Genomic DNA, 21777 nt, shown 5'->3' with positions numbered 1-21777 from the left:
CCATATTTACAGGTTCCAGAGATTAGGATCTGGACATTTTTGCAGGGAAGGAGAGCATTAGTCAGCCTACCACACTTTGTTTTAAATTAGTTTTTAAAGAATTAATTTCTTTTAAGGCCAGCAATGGAGGTAGCTTAATTTCTTTTAGGTTTTTAATAAACATGATGTGTTGGTGCCATGGTAATAAAACTGGGAAATATCATGGTATCTTGAAGAAGAAATTACTTTCATTAAGGCAGCATTCAAAATTACTAAGCCTGGTTTTAAAAATCACATGGTTAACTAATTTGTTCCTATAATTTTAGATAAACAGCCATAGAAATTCCACCTATCGCAAAAATCTGTGCAACTGATTGTACCAAGTAACTGAATTTATAAAATTGCCTGACAATGTCATATGCTGCATCTACTTGGCAGGACTATTTTATAATAAGTGAGTGCCATCAGTGAAATTAATTTCAACAACAGGACTCCCATAGGGCCCTGAGCTAAGTGTACCACAAGTTACTCTATAATTTATATTAACACATACGGCCTGATAACTGGCTGAAGACCTTAAGTAACTATCAAATTGTGCCAGATTTGACTTCAAGAAAAGGGTTAACTGGGACTTGGAGAGGAATTAAAAACAAAGAGATGAATTAGTATGAAGAATGAGGATTACTGCATCCACACAGTTAATTATCTGGATTGAGAACTGAGGCTACTTGTGCCAATAACTTTCCTATCTGTTACTAGAAATTCTTGCCCAGATGGAAGGATAACTAACTGGCCTTGATTTGCCTGGGACTGTCCCTGTTTTAAAACTGAAAGTCCTGAACTTCCTTAGTGTCTGGCAAATTGGAAGAGTTGGGCCTCCTATGGAAGATAAGGCTGTAAAACCAATAAATACTTTCAGTGTTTGCCTTAGGAAATCCTTGAAAAACAATTTATCAATTGGACAGCTTGCTGATCTAGGCAAACAGCTCTTCCATCAGAAGATTAGACTACTCCCCTGGGCAAAGAGTTCACTTAACATTTATTGAACAATAGTTTACTAATCAAGACTTGCTTCAAGATCTAATCTGTTCTGTCAGGTACCTTGCCCATTCTCAACCAGATTCCTGCATTGAAAGACCCTTCTTTAATCACTTGAACTCAGACTTCCAAAAGACTTTAATATCTTCCCCTGACCATCCCATTCTTAAATACAGCTAACTTTGTAAAAGTGGTATTTCCCTTTAGTGCAGTAGATTTAATAAGCTTAGTTTTGTTTGATCATCAGGTTGTTCTGATGGTCTTGTGAGGGAGCTGGCAGTTAACAGTCCTTTACATAATTCTGTTTTAAAGTACAGGAGTGTTTCTCTACTTAAGATCTAAACTTCTTATTTTTAAGGGCTAATGTGGCTGCTTTATTATTATGTGCACATTTACACATAGAAGGTGGTATAGTATGGTGAAAAGATCCCTAGACTTTAGAGCAAGAAGATACAGGTTCTACTCCTGACTGAGAATCTCCCTGATCTTTGGTAAATCTCTTAGCCATTCTCAGCCTATTGTCTTAACCATAAACTGACAGGATTGGATCAGGTGAAGTTCAATGTTCAGAATCTTTGGACTATTTGAAAGGTATTTTATTTTTGATGGTTATACCCTCATTCAACAAAGAAAGGATGAAAACATCAACACATAGGCAGGCAGCTGTTGACACTCAGCACACACAAAGACTGTCCTACAACTTGTAGTCACTCTGTAAAAAGTATCATAGTCAGGTACTTGTTCCTAAAATTCAGTATGATTCTTTCCACACACTACTTTTCACAGCTTTGTGCTTGACTGACTCTAGTTACTTTGGTTCATTCACATAGATCTTACATGACTCAAGTCTGCACCTTGTACAGTTTCTGTTGCCCTCCTGCACTGCAATCTCTTGACAGTTCACGCAACTAATAACTCCTCTGCCACCAAACATCAGCTTATTCTGTTGAATAGTAAAAAATTCTAAAAGATGGCAATGTGTCATTAAATGCATAAGTTAAAAACAGAAGAACCCTAGTTTTGTGATAGCCAAAATACACAGGGAAAACAAAAACAAAAGAGTCTTTAAAAGGGATTTTGTATCACTGAAGTGCATTTTAAACTATATGAAGTACATTATACAGACAGGCATAGCAAATACATATTTGGGGCTCAGTAGTAAAGATTTTATTTAGTTTCATGTAAATTCAATTAGCTAAGTTCTTTAATACCTACAAATCACACATAATTACATTTTCATGTACCTTACAAAACCATAATAAAGTATGACAAATTAAAAATAACATTATGATAAACTCTGCCTGTGCTGTTATTATTACTTGGTAATATTAATAGCGACTGAAGCAAGACTTCAGAGGTAAGATTTACTACTGAGGCCCAATGACAATGATTTGGAGAATTAGGTATATATCTAGAAATGAAACGGGTCCAGAACCCTTGTAAGAAAGATTTGAATTCTATAAGGCAGAATCTGGCCAGACACAGGGGCCTAGCCTTGACCTCTGTCCTAGGCCCCTGGGCCAGGTGCCAGGACAACCAAGGCCATTCTGCTTCTCACCTCCAGTGGGTACTGACCGTAGGGCTAGGCTTTGTTTACACTCATTTTTACCCCCATTTCTGTCCCCACTTCCATAAAAGACACTTCAAAATGCTGATGCTTCAGAGAATAAGAAACATTCTGAAAAGGAAAAAAACAAAAAGGCCTGCTGGCATATAAACTTCAAAAGAAAAAAAAGGTACAATAAGGAGACCTTATCTATTCCTTATCCATTGAGTAGTTGTAGTTTTTAAATAACTATAAGAACACTTGGTCTTATGTTTATAACATTACAGTAACATTAATTAACACAAATTAACATAAACAAAATTAATTAACATTAATTAACATAAACACTAAAATAGATAACATTTAGTTGTAGTCAAAATCATCATACCTCAGTAAAACATACTTTTTTTTTTTTTTTAAAGAAAAACTCCAATTACTCTGGGATATTCTTAATCCTTATTTTAGTAGCTGAGTGGAAGGATCTTTTCCATTAAAATAAAATTCTGTCCCAAAAATAGCTAAAATGGAAACTGAAATATATGAACCATTTGTGACACTATAAAAACTACTTGTCAGAGCCAACTCAGTTTCTCATATCTCATATTTTTAATATTGACTTCAGGCCTTAAAATTTCTATTTATCTTTCTTTAAAAATATAGGTTCTATGCCAGGGAGAACATGAACATTTCCTTTGCAAGTAGCAAAACACAAGTAAACTTTCACGACAGCTGCACCGGCATAATTCATCTTAAAATATTTAAAACATCATGCAAATTTAACAGCATGGGTACTTTTATTATACAGAATTTAATAATTAACAAAAACAACTTCCATTCTCATGGCACTTTTATAAGAGGTAAGGAAAGAAAAATATTATGACGCTCACTCTGTGGAAAAAGAATGAGATAATGGCTGCAGCTGTGAAAGGACAAAATTTACGACAGTTGTCTGGTTGCAACTGCTATCTTCTCTCTTCATTAGCATGTTCTAGAACAAGAAACATGATACTGTACACTCACAAGGTCTTTCATTTGAAGATTTCAGAACCTTTAATAAAGGTCCATCTGCACTAACCAGCACTACTAATCCCATTTGGATGTTTTCCGCCTCATATAACTGTGCCCCTCACTATCAATAGCTTCATAGAGGTCCTTTTTATTCTCTTGTATTGCATGTAGATAACCAATATATGCCACGCAAAGTGAAAGAGTTACCAATCCGAAAGCCATTACAGGTTTGTTCTGTCAAAGAAAAAAAAATTATAAAGCTTTAGTAAGACTAACAATTTGAGGAGACCCAAATATCGGTTGCACTTTCCTCCTGACATGCCACATCTTTATTACAACACTAGCATTACCATGGCAATATTTCAATTAAAATCATTTATTCAGTTCTTTATTCAATTAGCTAAGCTACTGATTATCTAGAGATTATAGAAGACTCTTGCTTCTCCTCTCCAGGCTTTCTCCCATCTACACCCTGGACATCTCAGACCTCTACTCTCAGGAAGGTGACAGCTGGGAAAGGAGTGGGGCAGGAAAACTGGTCAGCACCCGGAGTTTTCAATGTTATCTGGGTGAAGTGGAGGAGCTGCTTAACTTCCTGGGTCCTGGGCCCAAGTCTCTCCATTTGCAAACTTCAAATTAGTTCATTTTATTAGGAAGTGAGGAATGAACTAGACATGCTATTCTTCTTGCCCAAGTCATGAATAACTGGCAAAAAACCTTTTATATAATAGGCACAGAAATGATGATGATGTATACACTCTTCTCTGGGAAACTACTCCATTACCTCAAGAAATTTAGTGATGGGAACAGCTATTATGCTGTTAACCTTGATTTACTCTTGGACAATCCAAGACCCTAAGAGGCAAAGTGATGCTTTCAGGTTAAAACACACACACACACACACACACACACAAACACACACACACACACACACACGCTGTGTTTTGTTGTTGTTAAGAGGTTAAGAGACAGGATTTCACACACACACACACACACACACACACACACACACACACACACACACGCTGTGTTTTGTTGTTGTTGTTAAGAGACAGGATTTCATTCTGTTGCCCAGGCTGGAGTGCAGTGGTGCAATCATAGCTCACTGCAGTCTCAAACTCCTGGGCTCAAGCGATTTTCCTGCCTCAGCCTCCCAAGCTGGGACTACAGTTGTGCACACCATGCCTGGCTAATTTTTTTGTATTTTTAATAAATACAGGGTTTCACCATGTTGGCCAGCTGGTTTCAAACTCCTGACTTCAAGTGATCCGCCCACCTTGGTGTGAGCCACTGTGGCCAGACTAATTTTAAATTTTTTTGTAGAGATAGAGTCTCAGTATGTTGAACTCCTGGCCTCAAGAGATCCCTCTACCTCAGCCTCCCAAAGTACTGGGATTGCAGACATGAGTCATGATGCCCAGTCAAAAAAAAAAAAAAAAAAAAGCTTTTAAATACAGGAAAGATGTTCACAACTCCAGAAAAGTATTTTGTCTATTAACTTTGTTACTCCTGAAACTGTACCTCAGACCCTTTTCTTTGCATGTTCACACTCAACGAGTTGGTCTTTCTTAGGTCAATGTAAATGCACAGTAGTGATATAAATAACAGTTTCTGCTTCTGTCACCATACCTGCTGTACCACTACTGAGAAATAAAAGAAACTCTTTAACTGTGGAATGTGAGCCCCCTTTAAATTATCAGGCCCAGAGAGGCATTGGAATGAGACAGTAGTCATGTCTTGAGCTAAGTAATAATTTTGAAGCCCTTGTTATGTGGGCTCTGGACTGACACAACCAATAGCTATATATTAACCTTACAATGCCCTCCACTAGACATTATAACTCATACTCTGTAGTTCAACAATGTATAATTACTAATCAATGTCATTTCTGCAAACCAATGAAAATTACTGAAAAGCAACTTTTGTACTTGCCCCCTCTCCTGATTCATCTTTTTTCTTAAAAACTCCAGCCTCTCTTTTGCTCTCCAGAGTGCTTCCCAAGGTTACTCTGAAGTGTTTCCCAGGCTGCAGTCCTCAACCTTGGCCCAAATAAACTCCCTACCTATATTAATTTGCCTCAGTTTCTTCCTTTAGGTGACACTTCTATTTCAAAATAAGGGTCAAACTTTTTCACTTAGATGAACACCTAAGAAAGGACACAGACTCAGAGCAGTTTAAATTTACAATTCTTGAAATGCTTTTAGCAATTAAAAGAACACATTAGTTCAAAGCTTTTAAAATATTTTACCTTGATTTAATGATCTGATTAAGTTGATCTATTTAACTTTAAAAGTTTACATTGATAACTATGTTACTAAAATTCTAATCAGATTCAACACACTTAAATATTTATCATATTTTATTTTAATTTGATTTTACATTTATTTTAAAATAGAATCTACATTTATTTAAAAATAAACTCAGCCAGGCGTGGTGGCTCATGCCTGTAATCACAACAATTTGGGAGGCTGAGGTGGGAGAATCGCTTAAGGCCAGGAGTTCAAAACCAGTTTGGGCAATATACTGACACACCATCTCTACAAAAAATTTTAAAAATGAGCCAGGCATAAAGGCGTGCACCTGTAGTCCCAGCCACTCAGGAGGCTGAGGTACAAGGATCCCTTGAGCCCAGGGGTTTGAAGCTGCAGTGAGCTGACTGTACCACTGCACTACAGCCTAGGTGACAGAACCTCTAATAAATAAATGAATATCATCAAATCAAATGTTTTGGAATTTTTCACAAAGTATCTGTAATATTGCTTAGATAAAAATATTACCTACAGGGTAGAATTGCAGTATGTTAAGAATGGTCAGATTTTCATTTTGGTTTCCTTGCTTAAATGGAAGGTCTTATTTACCTAATAGTACCTGATCAAACAACAAAAGTTGTCTTCAAATTAATGCAACTATTAAAATAGTACTTTAGATAGTTTGAGAAGCCAATCCAATAAAGGGCAACCATTTTTCATTATAACTCTCAAATGCCCTTAAAATATTTACTTTTATATGTGTATTTATATGTGAAACAGCATTTACAATCGTCCTTCCACCTGCTTTTATTCACAGAGAGGTCTTACTTGTCAACATAAAATTTCCATGATAAAATCAAATACAAGAAAATTAGAACTTTCTGACAGTCTGGTTGGATTAAACACAAAGTCTTATCCTGGATGTATTTCTTACAGGTTTAATGAAGAGCTCTGGATTCACAGCACGAAATAAGGTTGTTGTGCGCACCCCTCTGAGCCCTGGGCTTTGAAACTCTTTCTCTTTGGGTGGTTCCTTTTTGAATGTTGGAGGCTCAGGTGCTGAAGACATCTTGATCAATGATGATTTATTATCTAAAAACAAAATAATATATTTTTTCCCTTCATAATTGTGCTTCTCTGATAAATTTCTTTAAAAAGTAATTCTTAAATTCCTTCTTTGAATTCCAACCCAGATACATACCAAATGTGATTGTCAGTTATCTTATTACTTTGTATAATGTACTTTGTAAATGGTGCTTTAACTTTAATTTGTTAATTTTGTTCATTATTTTAATTTTCATCTCAAAATAAAAGTGGTGGGCAAAGGTTGTTTTCCTGCTTTTATAGAAGACTGGAGAATTGTTTGTTGCTCTGAGTCACGTCGTATCATATGCAACCAAGACTATGAGTAGGTGAGGCCAGTAGGTTATCCGTTCCTTTCCTTAGTTCCTTGCTTTCACTCCTCCTCACCTTTCAACAGCCCCTCCATAACACCAACCTGAGAGAATGACCAGCATTCCTTTGCTCATTATCTTCTCCTACAGATTCACTCCTGGCCAGTTTCCCCCACTGCTCCTCTGTCTTCCTCCACTAGCCCACACACGAACTCATTTTCCCAAGCAGTAAGGATAAGGAGCTGTTTGTACTTACTCTTCCATTGCCAATCAGCAACTTTCTGGGTAGGTTATGCCCTGCTATCTCCTTAATCTGAATATCCTTTTTTATCTTAGCTACTGTAAATCTATCCTATTAAATCCAAGTGTGTCTTTTGTCTTCTTGTTTTCCTAGCTGAAATGTCAGCACTTTGGGAGTATTTTTCTCTTCTAGGTATTATTAGGCAAAAGCTTATTTTATCCTCTCTGCCATCTAATGCTGGGATGGGAGGTGAGGGTTGAAAGAGGGGAGGTAGAGAAAGAAAGCTTCCAAAGATGGACATAAATGACAATATAGTAAAATTATTTGGGGGAAATGCTGCAATCGCTGTACAGTAAATGTTATAAAATAAAAGTTAAGAGCCAAACATTCATACTTAAACACACATTGGGGCTTTGTTTGCACAAGTATTTTTTTTTTGAGACAGTCTTCTTACTCGATTGCCTAGACTGGAATGCACGTGCAGTGGCGTGATCATAGCTCACTGCAGCCTGCAGCCTCAAACACCTGGGCTCAAGTGATCCTCCCACCTCAACCTCCCAGGTAGCTAGGACTACAGGCATGCACCACACCTGGCTTTTTTTTTTTTTTTTTTTTTTTTTGGTAGGGACGGGGTCTCGCCATGTTGCCCAGGCTGGTCTCAAACTCCTGGCAACAAAGCAAACCTGCTTCTGCCTCCCAAAGTGCTGGGATTACAGGCATGATCCCATGCCTGTATACTTATACCACACCTGGCCAGTATAAGTATTCATTAAGCTTACTATTTTATAGACTTTATAAAATCAATATTTTCACAACTTCGTAGTTAAGGAGAAAACTAGGAACTTGGCTTTTCAAAATACTTTGTGTTGCAGTAGTCGCTGAATGTTCATCTATATCATTTAATTGGGTATGCACCTCAAGAGGAACATCTGCTTGAAGAAAAAGGAACGTTCTAAGCACTTTCTATACTTGCAAAGGCTTCAGAAATGTTCACTGTTGCTGGTTCCATCACTTATTCCTCATGCATATCATGATTATCATTGTTGCCTTCTTCATCGCTATCACCACGGCTTTCTGGTTCAATTTTTACATCAGTTAGCACTCCTGTAGCAACTTCAGGATTTGGTAACTTGGGAAATAGTTAAATTGCTATCTGTAGCCACACAGTCTTCAAAATTAAACTGGTTTGAGACATCAATGACAGCAGCAGTTGAGTGCTAGATTGGTTCAAATACCACATTTAGTTGCAGTCTTCTTACAGGAGGACCTCAGGGGATTCCACAGGAATCATGCCTGTGTTTTGCTAACATTTCATGATTACAGATAACTTTATAGATCACCAAGTCTCTGCAATCATGTCAATGGCTTACTCATGTTGCTTTTCTCCATTTTTCTCTTCATGCTCTACATTTAGAAAGAGTTGTTCCAACTGCTTTCAGAAGTGAGCTGTCACTGTGCCAACTGTACCCTGATCCAATGGCTGCAGAATGGCTGTGTAGTTCAATGGGAAAAACTCAACCCCTACATGATCCAAGTGTAGGAGTATGTTGTGGGCAGACCAATTGTCTACTGGCAAGAGCATACTGTGTATTGCTCCTTGCATTCCCTTGTCAATCTTTATCAGCTATTCAGTAACACATCTCTCATTATTCAGGCATGTGTATTGGCTTGGTAATCACGGAGGAACATTTCTGAAGCACTGAGAGTTAGCTGACTTGCCAAAGACAATTGTTCCAAAATGCATTACAGTAGAAACACCAATCATCAATCTGTTTATTTCCTTTGCAAAGTCTACCTTTGGCATGAAGCATATGATAAGGTAACAAGAACACCTGTTTCATCAGCACTTAAAACACCATTCAGGCTGGGCGGGGTGGCTCACACCTGTAATCCCACTATTTTGGGAGGAAGAGGTAGAAGGACTGCTTGAACCCAGGAGTCTGAGACCAGCCTGGGCAACAGGCTGTATCCTGTTTGGATACAGCTGGACCCTGTATCCAAAAACAAACAAACAAACAAACAAACAAACAAGCCACTGAAGCTGTAACCAGCAATTTTTGTTCTTGTTTTTAAATTTCTCCTGCATGTAAGTTAATAATTTTCTCTACTGAAACAGTGTTTTCTTCACTACAGGCAACTTGTGAAACAATTCCAGAATATGCCCAAAGTTTGTTCGGGCAGCCCGCACTTGCTTGAAACTCACCATGCCTGATAAGCTCTGGATGTTTGTCCCCTCTAAATCTCAAGCTGAATTGTAATCCCCAGTGTTGAAGGTGGAGCCTGGTGGGAGGCATTTGGATCATGGGAGCAGATCCCTCATGAATGGCTTGGTGCCATCCTTGTAGTAATGAGCGAGTTCTTACTCTATGAGTTCATGTGAGATCTGGTTGTTTAAGTGTGACACTTCTTCCCCTCCCTCTTGCTTCCTGTCTCACCATGTGACATGCCTGCTTCCACTTAATCTTCCACCACAACTGAAAGCTTCCTGAAGCCCTCACCAGGGGCAGATGCTGGCACCATGCTTCCTGTACAGCCTGCTGAACCGTGAGCCAATTAAACCTCTTTGCTTTATAAATTACCTAGCATCAGGTACTTCTTTATAATGACGCAAGAAGAGACTAACACAATTCCTAAGGTTGGCAAAAATCCAATGCTTTCTACAGCACAGTTACATGCCCATTTCTTGCATGAACCTGATATCATGCAAAAACAGTGATAAAAGGGACCTCACATTCACTTTTGCTTTAGTCCCAGAATCCCTTTTTAAACTTTCTCTTCAATCTTGGCTCAATCTTTCAAAAATGTGAACAATGTTGGGGTAGTGGTGTTAAATTCCTTTGCTATTTCTCCTTTGTTGTGGCAGCAATCTACTGCTTCCACTACTACCATTTTTTTCTTCTAATGAGAACTGCTGGTGTTTCATTTTTCTTCTCTTAGCCACGATGGTGTTTATAAAGGTATTTAGAATTTAAGTAACAAATGTTGGCCACCAGGTGCCTATAACAGGTGTCAGTGATGTTTCTCCCTGTGCTAAAAACTTGTTTGACTATAAACGTGGGTGCTATAGTTTGGGTATTTGTCTCCCAAACCTCACGTTGAAATCTGACCTCCAATGTCGGAGGTGAGGCCTAGTGGGAGGTGTTTGGGTCATGGGGGTGGATCCCTCATGAATAGATTAATACCCTTCCTCGGGGAGCGTGGGGAGCAAGTGAGTTCTCACTCTATTAGTCCCCTGGAGAGCTGGTTGTTAAAAAGAGCCTAGCACCTCCCCTCTCTTTCTTGCTTCCTCTCTTACCATGTGATCTCTGCACATGCCAGATCACCATCACCTTCCACCATGAGTGGAGGCAACCTGAGCCCCTCACCAGAAACAGAGGCTGACACCATGCTTCCTGTACAGCCTGCAGAACCATGAACCAAATAAACTTCTTTTCTTCATAAATTGCCCAGCCTCAGTATTCCTTTATAGCAACACAAATGGGCTAAGATAGGAAAAGAAAATGCAAAATGAAGCAGTCATTAAAGTGGAAGCAGTATTATAGTCTGTCAACAGCCAAACCTATAAGGAACATTAGGAAGAAAATAGCCCATGGCCATGTTATTAGGGCTGAATCTCAGCCTCAGAGTGTGCCACTACATGAAACTGAGGCATTAGATAAAAATACTACAAAGGCCTGAAAAAGCAAATATACAAAGGTAAAAGTCATTGTAACCAGAAACTGACATAAACAGCATTTTTCCAAGGTGATGGAAAAGATGGGTATAGAAGTTCATATTGCAGAGCACAGAAGGGTCCTCAGAGCATAGTTTATTACATATACTTTGTGTGGATGATAATGTGCCAGGAATTGAGGAGGATGAACTCACTCCACACCTGATGTCCAAAATTATATAAAATTATGTTACATATAATTATATATTAATTATATGTAATTTATTAACATAATAAATTATATATTAAACAATAATGTAATATACAATTTACATTATATATTATTATTACTCCACTCCTGGGGTATATAAAATTATATACTGTATATAATTTTGGACTTCAGGTGTGGAGTGAGTTAATCATCCCCTCAGGGAGGGCATTAATCTATTCAGAAGGGATCTGCTGTCATTTATATATATATATATACATATATGGGGGGGGAGGAGAGGAGGAGAAAGAGAAAGAGAGAGACTAGTTACAACTAACAAAAATGTCAGTATTTTAAAATTAAATGGATGCAGTGATGCTGAGTGTTATGAAATTCAACCTATATGAAATATGTCTGTAAAAAACTATATAGTTATATAGCATTCTAACACTAATTGTGATGACTTAATTTTATTTGTAAGATTGCTTGATCTCCTTTTTTCCTTAGCAGAACCTATATTTCCTTTATAATGAATCAATAAAATAATCAGGGTAGTATTTGTTATATTGCAACTCCCAGACACTCACATTTACCTTAATAATTCACTGTTTATGTTAAACTCTGCTAGAAATGACAGAATATTTTGACTGGAAACTCACATGTATATTTTTAAAAGATTTAATATACCACAATTTCCACTGTTACTGACACTTTCTGGAAAGTATGAGAGTAACATTTTCTATTATTTATCATTCTTTTATTAGAAGTGGGATAAAACAGCTCAGTTTTATTGCTGCTTCTCCTTTATGAGCCACAGTCACTGATGATACAACAATTCTCCCAAAATTCCATGAACTTATTTACACCATCTATCAAACTAAGACTTTTTAACAACCATCTATACTTTGTTAAAAAAAATTCAGATTACTGAGACCAGAAAGGGTCTTAGCAGCCAAGAATTTGTTATATATAACTATTTTAAAAACAACAACAAAAACAAAAACAAAATCTTTTCTACATACGAGAAAATTCTTCTGTATTTGTTCACATGCCAGCCCACAGAGCTGTACAAGTATGGCTGACGAATAAATTCAAGATGTGCCAGGAATAAATAAAACAGGTAGAATGCAAAACCTTAGTCATTTCTTCACACATGTATAAATTGTTTTGGGGAAAACAAATCTGTATTTTAACAAGTAAACTTTTAATCCTGAAGTTTAAGTTGACTAGCTGTTTTCAAGTACAAAACTAATACAAGTTTCAATTTTAAAAGCTGCAGAACTAATCATAAAGTCAAGGCATGGCAATAACTTACTCTGACATTACCACTCACCTAAGACAAAACCAGTTAATGTCCAGCACACTTCCATCAGAACTTTCTTAGTCTTCCCACTAGTTTCTCCACCTTCTTCTCTTACTTTTTGTTTCCACTGCAGCTGTCACTCATTTACTTACATATGATATTGACCAATCTCTAGTTATTATCACTTTGAGGATCTATTTATTTTTAAGCTGCATTTAAAAACCTCATTTACTGTGTTAAAACAGTAATGACATAAAACATACATACACATAGATTAGCAAGGATGCTGGGAACCTGGCATTACACTGCTCTTGGCTAAGTAATTTTGTGATTAATTTGTGTGCGGGCCTACCTGCAAAATAATTAATCAGGCACCCCTGGCTGTGCAATCTGCCCCACTCTTATTTCTTCTTCATTTTTCCATCACCCACTTCTTGTTCCCTTTTCCATGCATGATTAAGAAACTGTTATTTATCTTTTCTTAAAAAAAAAAATAGAGGAGAGTAGAACATTTCACAGGTGCCTGTAAAAAAGGTCTAAACTAAGGGGTATTTGCTTCATTTGTTTCTCTCTGGTAAAATGTTCTTTACCTTTTTCTTCTGTCCATCCTCCTGTGACGGAAGCGTGCAATGGAAAAAGGAAGAAGCAAAGATAAAGGACTGCCCGTTTACCCAACTCCATGAGAGTCATTTACATCTCAAAGTGTAAGAATAGTAAGCCCCTGAAATTAATAACACACAATGTGAGAGGCTGTACAGATGGTCCTACACCGAGAGTCAGGACTAGTCATTTTTGAATGATTTTCCCTTCTTTAGCAAAATTCTTGCTCAGGGAGTTATTCCAGAATACTTGACTACCTATTAATATATTGTACATGCAAATTAGACTAAGATATAAAGAATATAAGAATTACTTTGAGGGAAACACTTAATCTTCAAACATACATTTTAGAAATAAGCACCTCAATAGAAGACAAAACAAAATGACCAGAATCATAAAATGTTAACGAGCAGGAACCTTATTAATAATGAAAGCATTTCCTTTAAAAGACAGAGAATTATAAAATGGGCAAAATATTTTAATGAAAGTATAATACACTTTTTTATAGTTTCACATGCCACATTATCTTAATACTTAAGAAACTAACTTGAACTTTGGGGCAGAAAACCTTAAAAATAATTTAAATTAGTTTAAACAAGTTTGGGATAGAATCAGAGGACTTCATGGCTTGAGGGGAAACATAGCATAACCTCAGATTCTCACTTTGCTACTTATAAGCTGTGTGTCTTTAAGTGACAACTCTGATTCTCAGTTTCTACCTTTATAAAAGGAGCAATACTATCTATTGCATAGATAGGTACTAAATGTGTGCATTAATTAAGATGACACATTTTAAAAGATGCAGATGTTCAATGAATGGTAGCTACTTTCATACTCACCATTTAGTCTAACTCCCCCTTCTAAACCCCTTTCTGAGAAACCCAGACCCAAGGAGATGTCCTTACCAGGAGGGTGCGATCACCTAGGTCTCCCAATTACCAGCCCACCAATATTTCACCACCTCACCCCATCTTACTCTTGAATTGATAAAAGGCCTTTGCATGTATATTACAATATTTAAGAAAAAAAATTATAATCACTTAAGTTTTAAAAATTGATTATATATATGTTGTTTTTAAGGTAAAACATACTTTCTAAAAAAGTATCTTTCCTGCCGGGCAGGGTGGCTCACGCCTGCAATCCCAGCACTCTGGGAGGCCGAAGCGGGTAGATTGCTTGAGGTCAGGATCACTTGAGGTCAGGAGTTTGAAACTAGCGTAGCCAATATGGTGAAACCCCGTCTCTACTAAAAATACAAAAATTAGCTGGGTGTGGTGGTGCGGGCCTGTAATCCCAGCTCCTCGGGAGGCTGAGGCAGAATAATCGCCTGAACCCAGGAGGTGAAGGTTGCAGTGAGCCGAGATCGTGCCACTGCACTCCAGCCTGGGCGACAGAGCGAAACTCTGTCTAAAAACAAAACAAGAGGGGAGGAGCCAAGATGGCTGAATAGGAACAGCTCCGGTCTACAGCTCCCAGAGTGAGCAACGCAGAAGATGGGTGATTTCTGCATTTCCAGTCGAGGTACCGGGTTCATCTCACTAGGGAGTGCCAGACACTGGGCGCAGGTAAGTGGGTGCGCGCACCATGTGAGAGCCGAAGCAGGGCGAGGCATTGCCTCACTCGGGAAGTGCAAGGGGTCAGGGAGTTCCCTCTCCTAGTCAAAGAAAAGGGTGACAGACGGCACATGGAAAATCGGGTCACTCCCACCCGAATCCTGCGCTTTTCCGACGGGCTTAAAAAATGGCGCACCACGAGATTATATCCCGCACGTGGTTCGGAGGGTCCTACGCCCACGGAGTCTGGCTGATTGCTAGCACAGCAGTCTGAGATCAAACTGCAAGGCGGCAGTGAGGCTGGGGGAGGGGCGCCCGCCATTGCCCAGGCTTGCTTAGGTAAACAAAGCAGCTGGGAAGCTCGAACTGGGTGGAGCCCACCACAGCTCAAGGAGGCCTGCCTGCCTCTGTAGGCTCCACCTCTGGGGGCAGGGCACAGACAAACAAAAAGACAGCAGTATCCTCTGCAGACTTAAATGTCCCTGTCTGACAGCTTTGAAGAGAGCAGTGGTTCTCCCAGCACGCAGCTGGAGATCTGAGAACAGGCAGACTGCCTCCTCAAGTGGGTCCCTGACCCCTGACCCCCGAGCAGCCTAACTGGGAGGCAGCCTCCAGCAGGGGCAGACTGATACCTCACACGGCCGGGTACTCCAACAGACCTGAAGCTTACGGTCCTGTCTGTTAGAAGGAAAACTAACAAACAGAAAGGACATCCACACCAAAAACCCATCTGTACATCACCATCAACAAAGACAAAAAGTAGATAAAACCACAAAGATGGGGAAAAAACAGAGCAGAAAAACTGGAAACTCTAAAAAGCAGAGTGCCTCTCCTCCTCCAAAGGAACGCAGTTCCTCACGAGCAACGGAACAAAGTTGGACGGAGAATGACTTTGACGAGCTGAGAGAAGGCTTCACACGATCAAATTATTCCGAGCTACGGGAGGAAATTCAAACCAAAGGCAAAGAAGTTGAAAACTTTGAAAAAAGTTTAGAAGAATGTATAACTAGAATAACCAATACTGAGAAGTGCTTAAAGGAGCTGATGGAGCTGAAAACCAAGGCTCAAGAACTACGTGAAGAATGCAGAAGCCTCAGGAGCTGATGCGATCAACTGGAAGAAAGGGTATCAGTGATGGAAGATGAAGTGAATGAAATGAAGCGAGAAGGGAAGTTTAGAGAAAAAAGAATAAAAAGAAACAAGCAAAGCCTCCAAGAAATATGGGACTATGTGAAAAGACCAAATCTACGTCTGATTGGTGTACCTGAAAGTGACGGGGAGAATGGAACCAAGTTGGAAAACACTCTGCAGGATATTATCCAGGAGAACTTCCCCAATCTAGCAAGGCAGGCCAACATTCAGATTCAGGAAATACAGAGAACGCCACAAAGATACTCCTCGAGAAGAGCAACTCCAAGACACATAATTGTCAGATTCACCAAAGTTGAAATGAAGGAAAAAATGTTAAGGGCAGCCAGAGAGAAAGGTCGGGTTACCCACAAAGGGAAGCCCATCAGACTAACAGCGGATCTCTTGGCAGAAACTCTACAAGCCAGAAGAGAGTGGGGGCCAATATTCAACATTCTTAAAGAAAAGAATTTTCAACCCAGAATTTCATATCCAGCCAAACTAAGCTTCATAAGTGAAGGAGAAATAAAATACTTTACAGACAAGCAAATGCTGAGAGATTTTGTGACCAGCAGGCCTGCCCTAAAAGAGCTCCTGAAGGAAGCACTAAACATGGAAAGGAACAACCTGTACCATCCATTGCCAAAATGTAAAGACCATTGAGACTAGGAAGAAACTGTATCAACTAACGAGCAAAATAACGAGCTAACATAATGACAGGATCAAATTCACACATAACAATATTACCTTTAAATGTAAATGGACTAAATGCTCCAATTAAAAGACACAGACTGGCAAATTGGATAAAGAGTCAAGACCCATCAGTGTGCTGTATTCAGGAAACCCATCTCACGTGCAGAGACACACATAGGCTCAAAATAAAAGGATGGAGGAACATCTACCAAGCAAATGGAAAACAAAAAAAAGCAGGGGTTGCAATCCTAGTCTCTGATAAAACAGACTTTTAACCAACAAAGATCAAAAGACACAAAGAAGGCCATTACATAATGGTAAAGGGATCAATTCAACAAGAAGAGCTAACTATCCTAAATATATATGCACCCAATACAGGAGCACCCAGATTCATAAAGCAAGTCCTGAGTGACCTACAAAGAGACTTAAACTCCCACAAATTAATAATGGGAGACTTTAACACCCCACTGTCAACATTAGACAGATCAACGAGACAGAAAGTCAACAAGGATACCCAGGAATTGAACTCAGCTCTGCACCAAGCAGACCTAATAGACATCTACAGAACTCTCCACCCCAAATCAACAGAATATACATTTTTTTCAGCACCACACCACACCTATTCCAAAATTGACCACATACTTGGAAGTAAAGCTCTCCTCAGCAAATGTAAAAGAACAGAAATTATAACAAACTATCTCTCAGACCACAGTGCAATCAAACTAGAACTCAGGATTAAGAATCTCACTCAAAACCACTCAACTACATGGAAACTGAACAACCTGCTCCTGAATGACTACTGGGTACATAACGAACTGAAGGCAGAAATAAAGATGTTCTTTGAAACCAACGAGAACAAAGACACAAAATACCAGAATCTCTGGGATGCATTCAAAGCAGCATGTAGAGGGAAATTTATAGCCCTAAATGCCCACAAGATAAAGCAGGAAAGATCCAAAATTGACACCCTAACATCACAATTAAGAGAACTAGAAAAGCAAGAGCAAACACATTCAAAAGCTAGCAGAAGGCAAGAAATAACCAAAATCAGAGCACAACTAAAGGAAATAGAGACATTAAAAACCCTTCAAAAAATTAATGAATCCAGGAGCTGGTTTTTTGAACGGATCAACAAAATTGATAGACCGCTAGCAAGACTAATAAAGATAAAAAGAGAGAAGAATCAAATAGACGCAATAAAAAATGATAAAAGGGATATCACCACCGATCCCACAGAAATACAAACTACCATCAGAGAATACTACAAACAGCTCTATGCAAATAAACTAGAAAATCTAGAAGAAATGGATAAGTTCCTCGACACATACACTCTCCCAAGACTAAACTAGGAAGAAGTTGAATCTCTTAATAGACCAATAACAGGAGCTGAAATTGTGGCAATAATCAATAGCTTACCAACCAAAAAGAGTCCAGGAGCAGATGGCTTCACAGCCGAATTCTAACAGAGGTACAAGGAGGAACTGGTACCATTCCTTCTGAAACTATTCCAATCAATAGAAAAAGAGGGAATCCTCCCTAACTCATTTTATGAGGCCAGCATCATCCTGATATGAAAGCCGGGCAGAGACACAACCAAAAAAGAGAATTTTAGACCAATATCCTTGATGAACATTGATGCAAAAATCCTCAATAAAATACTGGCAAACGGAATCCAGCAGCACATCAAAAAGCTTATCCACCATGATCAAGTGGGCTTCATCCCTGGGATGCAAGGCTGGTTCAATATATGCAAATCAATAAATGTAATCCAGCATATAAACAGAACCAAAGACAAAAACCACATGATTATCTCAATAGATGCAGACAGGCCTTTGACAAAATTCAATAACCCTTCATGCTAAAAACTCTCAATAAATTAGGTATTGATGGGACGTATCTCAAAATAATAAGAGCTATCTATGACAAACCCACAGCCAATATCATACTGAATGGGCAAAAACTGGAAGCATTCCCTTTGAAAACTGGCACAAGACAGGGATGCCCTCTCTCACCACTCCTATTCAACATAGTGTTGGAAGTTCTGGCCAGGGCAATTAGGCAGGAGAAGGAAATAAAGGGTATTCAATTAGGAAAAGAGGAAGTCAAATTGTCCGTGTTTGCAGATGACATGACTGTATACCTAGAAAACCCCATTGTCTCAGCCCAACATCTCCTTAAGCTGATAAGCAACTTCAGCAAAGTCTCAGGATACAAAATCAATGTACAAAAATCACAAGCATTCTTATACACCAGCAACAAACAGAGAGCCAAATCATGAGTGAACTCCCATTCACAATTGCTTCAAAGAGAATAAAATACCTAGGAATCCAACTTACAAGGGATGTGAAGGACCTCTTCAAGGAGAACTACAAACCACTGCTCAAGGAAATAAAAGAGGATACAAACAAATGGATGAACATTCCATGCTCATGCGTAGGAAGAATCAACATTGTGAAAATGGCCATACTGCCCAAGGTAATTTACAGATTCAATGCCATCCCCATCAAGCTACCAATGTCTTTCTTCATAGAATTGGAAAAAGCTACTTTAAAGTTCATATGGAACCAAAAAAGAGCCCACATCGCCAAGTCAATCCTAAGCCAAAAGAACAAAGCTGGAGGTATCACACTACCTGACTTCAAAGTATACTACAAGGCTACAGTAACCAAAACAGCATGGTACTGGTACCAAAACAGAGATATAGATCAATGGAATAGAACAGAGCCCTCAGAAATAACGCCACATATCTACAACTATCTGATCTTTGACAAACCTGAGAAAAACAAGCAATGGGGAAAGGATTCCCTATTTAATAAATGGTGCTGGGAAAACTGGCTAGCCATATGTAGAAAGCTGAAACTGGATCCCTTCCTTACACCTTATACAAAAATCAATTCAAGATGGATTAAAGACTTAAACGTTAGACCTAAAACCATAAAAACCCTAGAAGAAAACCTAAGCATTACCATTCAGGACATAGGCATGGGCAAGGACTTCATGTCTAAAACACCAAAAGCAATAGCAACCAAAGCCAAAATTGACAAATAGGATCTAATTAAAGAGCTTCTGCACAGCAAAAGAAACTACCATCAGAGTGAACAGGCAACCTACAAAATGGGAGAAAATTTTCACAACCTATTCATCTGACAAAGGGCTAATATCCAGAATCTACAATCAACTCAAGCAAATTTACAAGACAAAAACAAAGAACCCCATCAAAAAGTGGGCGAAGGACATGAACAGACACTTCTCAAAAGAAGACATTTATGCAGCCAAAACACACATGAAAAAATGCTCACCATCACTGGCCATCAGAGAAATGCAAATCAAAACCACAATGAGATACCATCTCACAGCAGTTAGAATGGCAATCATTAAAAAGTCAGGAAACAACAGGTGCTGGAGAGGCTGTGGAGAAACAGGAACACTTTTACACTGTTGGTGGCCTGTAAACCAGTACAACCATTGTGGAAGTCAGTGTGGCGATTCCTCAGGGATCTAGAACTAGAAATACCATTTGACCCAGCCATCCCATTACTGGGTATATACCCAAAGGACTATAAATCATGCTGCTGTAAAGACACAAGCACACGTATGTTTATTGCGGCATTATTCACAATAGCAAAGACCTGGAACCAACCCAAATGTCCAACAATGATAGACTGGATTAAGAAAATGTGGCACATATACACCATGTAATACTATGCAGCCATAAAAAATGATGAGTTCATGTCCTTTGTAGGGACATGGATGAAATTGGAAATCATCATTCTCAGTAAACTATCGCAAGAACAAAAAAGCAAACATCACATATTCTCACTCATAGGTGGGAATTGAACAATGGGAACACATGGACACAGGAAGGGGAACATCACACTCTGAGGTCTGTTGTGGGGTGGGGGGAGGGGGGAGGGATAGCATTGGGAGATATACCTAATGTTAGATGTCCAGTTGGTGGGTGCATCGCACCAGCATGGCACATGTATACATATGTAACTAACCTGCACATTGTGCACATGTACCCTAAAACTTATAATAATAACAAATAAATAAATAAACAAAACAAAACAAAAGTATCTTTCCACCTCTTGGATGTAGTACTGTCTCTGAAAAAAGGGGAAAGGCTTTGCTGGCGACAGCCTGAGTACTGACAATCTGAGTCTCATCTGGCTTCCCCCAATGTCATGGACTACTGTTCGGTGCCGAAGGCTTACTCAAAGACAGACGCATTGGAAGCCTCCAAAAGAAAACTTCATTCCGTTAAGTTCTACACATTGTGTTGCAGGGCTGAAAAAGCACGAGTGTCCGCACTATGACAAAAGAAAAGCGGCGTCTCCTCAAAACACCACCATGTTCCCCTATGAGTCTGGTGAGCCAAGACACTAAGAAACTGCAGGAAACGAGAGAGTTCTCGGGGTGGGGGTGTCCATGGATGAAGCACCGAACAAACTGGAGCCCGCAAGGTGAGTACGGGAAATGGGCTCTGTGGGGCCAGAGAGCTTCACCGACTTGGGGTGCGGGTACAGGGAGTCCACGGAGAGGCAAAGATTTGGGCTATCCGAGAGGACGCTCCCTCCCTGGGAGGGAGACCGGCAGGGCAGCTGGGAAGGGCAGAGACGGGAGCGTGATGGTGCGGCCGCCCTGGCCCCTCCAGGCCGGCGCCCAGCCACTCAACACCACCGAAGCCGCCGCTTACCTTTCGCGGGGTCACCTCCTCTCCTCGCCCGAGACGCCCCGCCCCGCTTCGCCGCCCCGCCTGCTAGAGAGAGCGGCGGAGGGCGCCCCGCCCGGCGCCACAGCGTCCCCTGTCTTCCGGAGGCTGCGGCGCAGCGGCGCGGGGCTGCGGGGACCCATCCAGTGCTAGCCTTTCCGGTTCTGAGGACCTCGCGCCCCTCCTTGGGGTCTGCGGGCTGAAGTGTGCAAGGGACGTTTTTGCTTTCTTCCCTTTTTGACCTTTAGTTTTCCACCTCCCAACTTCAAATTACGTTCCAGTTCGGTGTGTATGTTTGTATAAATAAAAGGAGACATCTCCTAGAAGTATGTTTATTTCATGAAAGTGGAAAGCATTCTGATTTGGGAAAGAAAGCTAGATCTGATTTCTTCCTACCCCTACTTTAGGGGAACAGTCATTTAAGTGTAGAGTTAATACTCTGCCATTACGTTAGGGCCTTGAGAGTCCAAGATG

General features: G+C 39.6%; 2 protein-coding genes and 1 pseudogene across 4 annotated transcripts in view, besides 3 other annotated features; 1 reads left to right on the top strand and 2 right to left on the bottom strand.

Annotated features, from left to right (window-relative positions):
* Nucleotides 1-1591: 1591 nt before the first annotated feature.
* On the bottom strand, nucleotides 1592-21333 carry SMIM8 (small integral membrane protein 8). Of its 3 annotated transcripts, NM_001042493.3 has the most exons (4): nucleotides 21289-21333; nucleotides 13209-13229; nucleotides 6755-6912; nucleotides 1592-3805 (listed from the first exon to the last, which is right to left on the bottom strand). In NM_001042493.3, the coding sequence occupies exons 3-4, from the start codon at nucleotides 6887-6889 to the stop codon at nucleotides 3647-3649; spliced, it is 294 nt and encodes a 97-aa protein (NP_001035958.1). In that variant the 5' UTR covers nucleotides 6890-6912; nucleotides 13209-13229; nucleotides 21289-21333; the 3' UTR covers nucleotides 1592-3646. The 3 variants fall into 3 exon arrangements, with proteins under 3 accessions (NP_001035958.1, NP_065158.3, NP_001274374.1); NM_020425.6 differs by lacking the exon at nucleotides 13209-13229; NM_001287445.2 differs by lacking the exon at nucleotides 13209-13229 and having other exon boundaries at nucleotides 1592-2695.
* LOC100421022 (tigger transposable element derived 6 pseudogene) lies at nucleotides 8332-9309 on the bottom strand (annotated as a pseudogene).
* Nucleotides 14214-14898: an enhancer, noted in NCBI's record as "H3K27ac-H3K4me1 hESC enhancer chr6:88038741-88039425 (GRCh37/hg19 assembly coordinates)". NCBI's record gives its function as "activates a minimal SCP1, AML or CMV promoter by ChIP-STARR-seq in primed H9 embryonic stem cells {active_cell/tissue: H9 hESC(primed)}" and the evidence as "EXISTENCE:reporter gene assay evidence [ECO:0000049][PMID:30033119]".
* The window catches only part of GJB7 (gap junction protein beta 7), a 46299-nt gene continuing 39164 nt past the window's right edge, over nucleotides 14643-21777 (top strand). Inside the window, exons 1-2 of the mRNA NM_198568.3 lie at nucleotides 14643-14783; nucleotides 20878-21055. The gene's annotated coding sequence lies outside the window, so the exon portion shown is untranslated. The remainder of the gene's footprint in view (nucleotides 14784-20877; nucleotides 21056-21777) is intronic.
* Nucleotides 14899-15585: an enhancer, noted in NCBI's record as "NANOG-H3K27ac-H3K4me1 hESC enhancer chr6:88038054-88038740 (GRCh37/hg19 assembly coordinates)". NCBI's record gives its function as "activates a minimal SCP1, AML or CMV promoter by ChIP-STARR-seq in primed H9 embryonic stem cells {active_cell/tissue: H9 hESC(primed)}" and the evidence as "EXISTENCE:reporter gene assay evidence [ECO:0000049][PMID:30033119]".
* Nucleotides 21222-21511: a silencer, noted in NCBI's record as "silent region_17373". NCBI's record gives its function as "represses an Ori minimal core promoter by ATAC-STARR-seq in GM12878 lymphoblastoid cells {active_cell/tissue: GM12878}" and the evidence as "EXISTENCE:reporter gene assay evidence [ECO:0000049][PMID:35858748]".

The sequence above is a fragment of the Homo sapiens genome, chromosome 6, assembly GCF_000001405.40.
Source record: "Homo sapiens chromosome 6, GRCh38.p14 Primary Assembly".
Taxonomy (NCBI): Eukaryota; Metazoa; Chordata; class Mammalia; order Primates; family Hominidae; genus Homo; species Homo sapiens.
The sequence above is the reverse complement of the archived record's forward strand: the minus strand, read 5'-3'. Positions and strand labels throughout refer to the sequence as shown.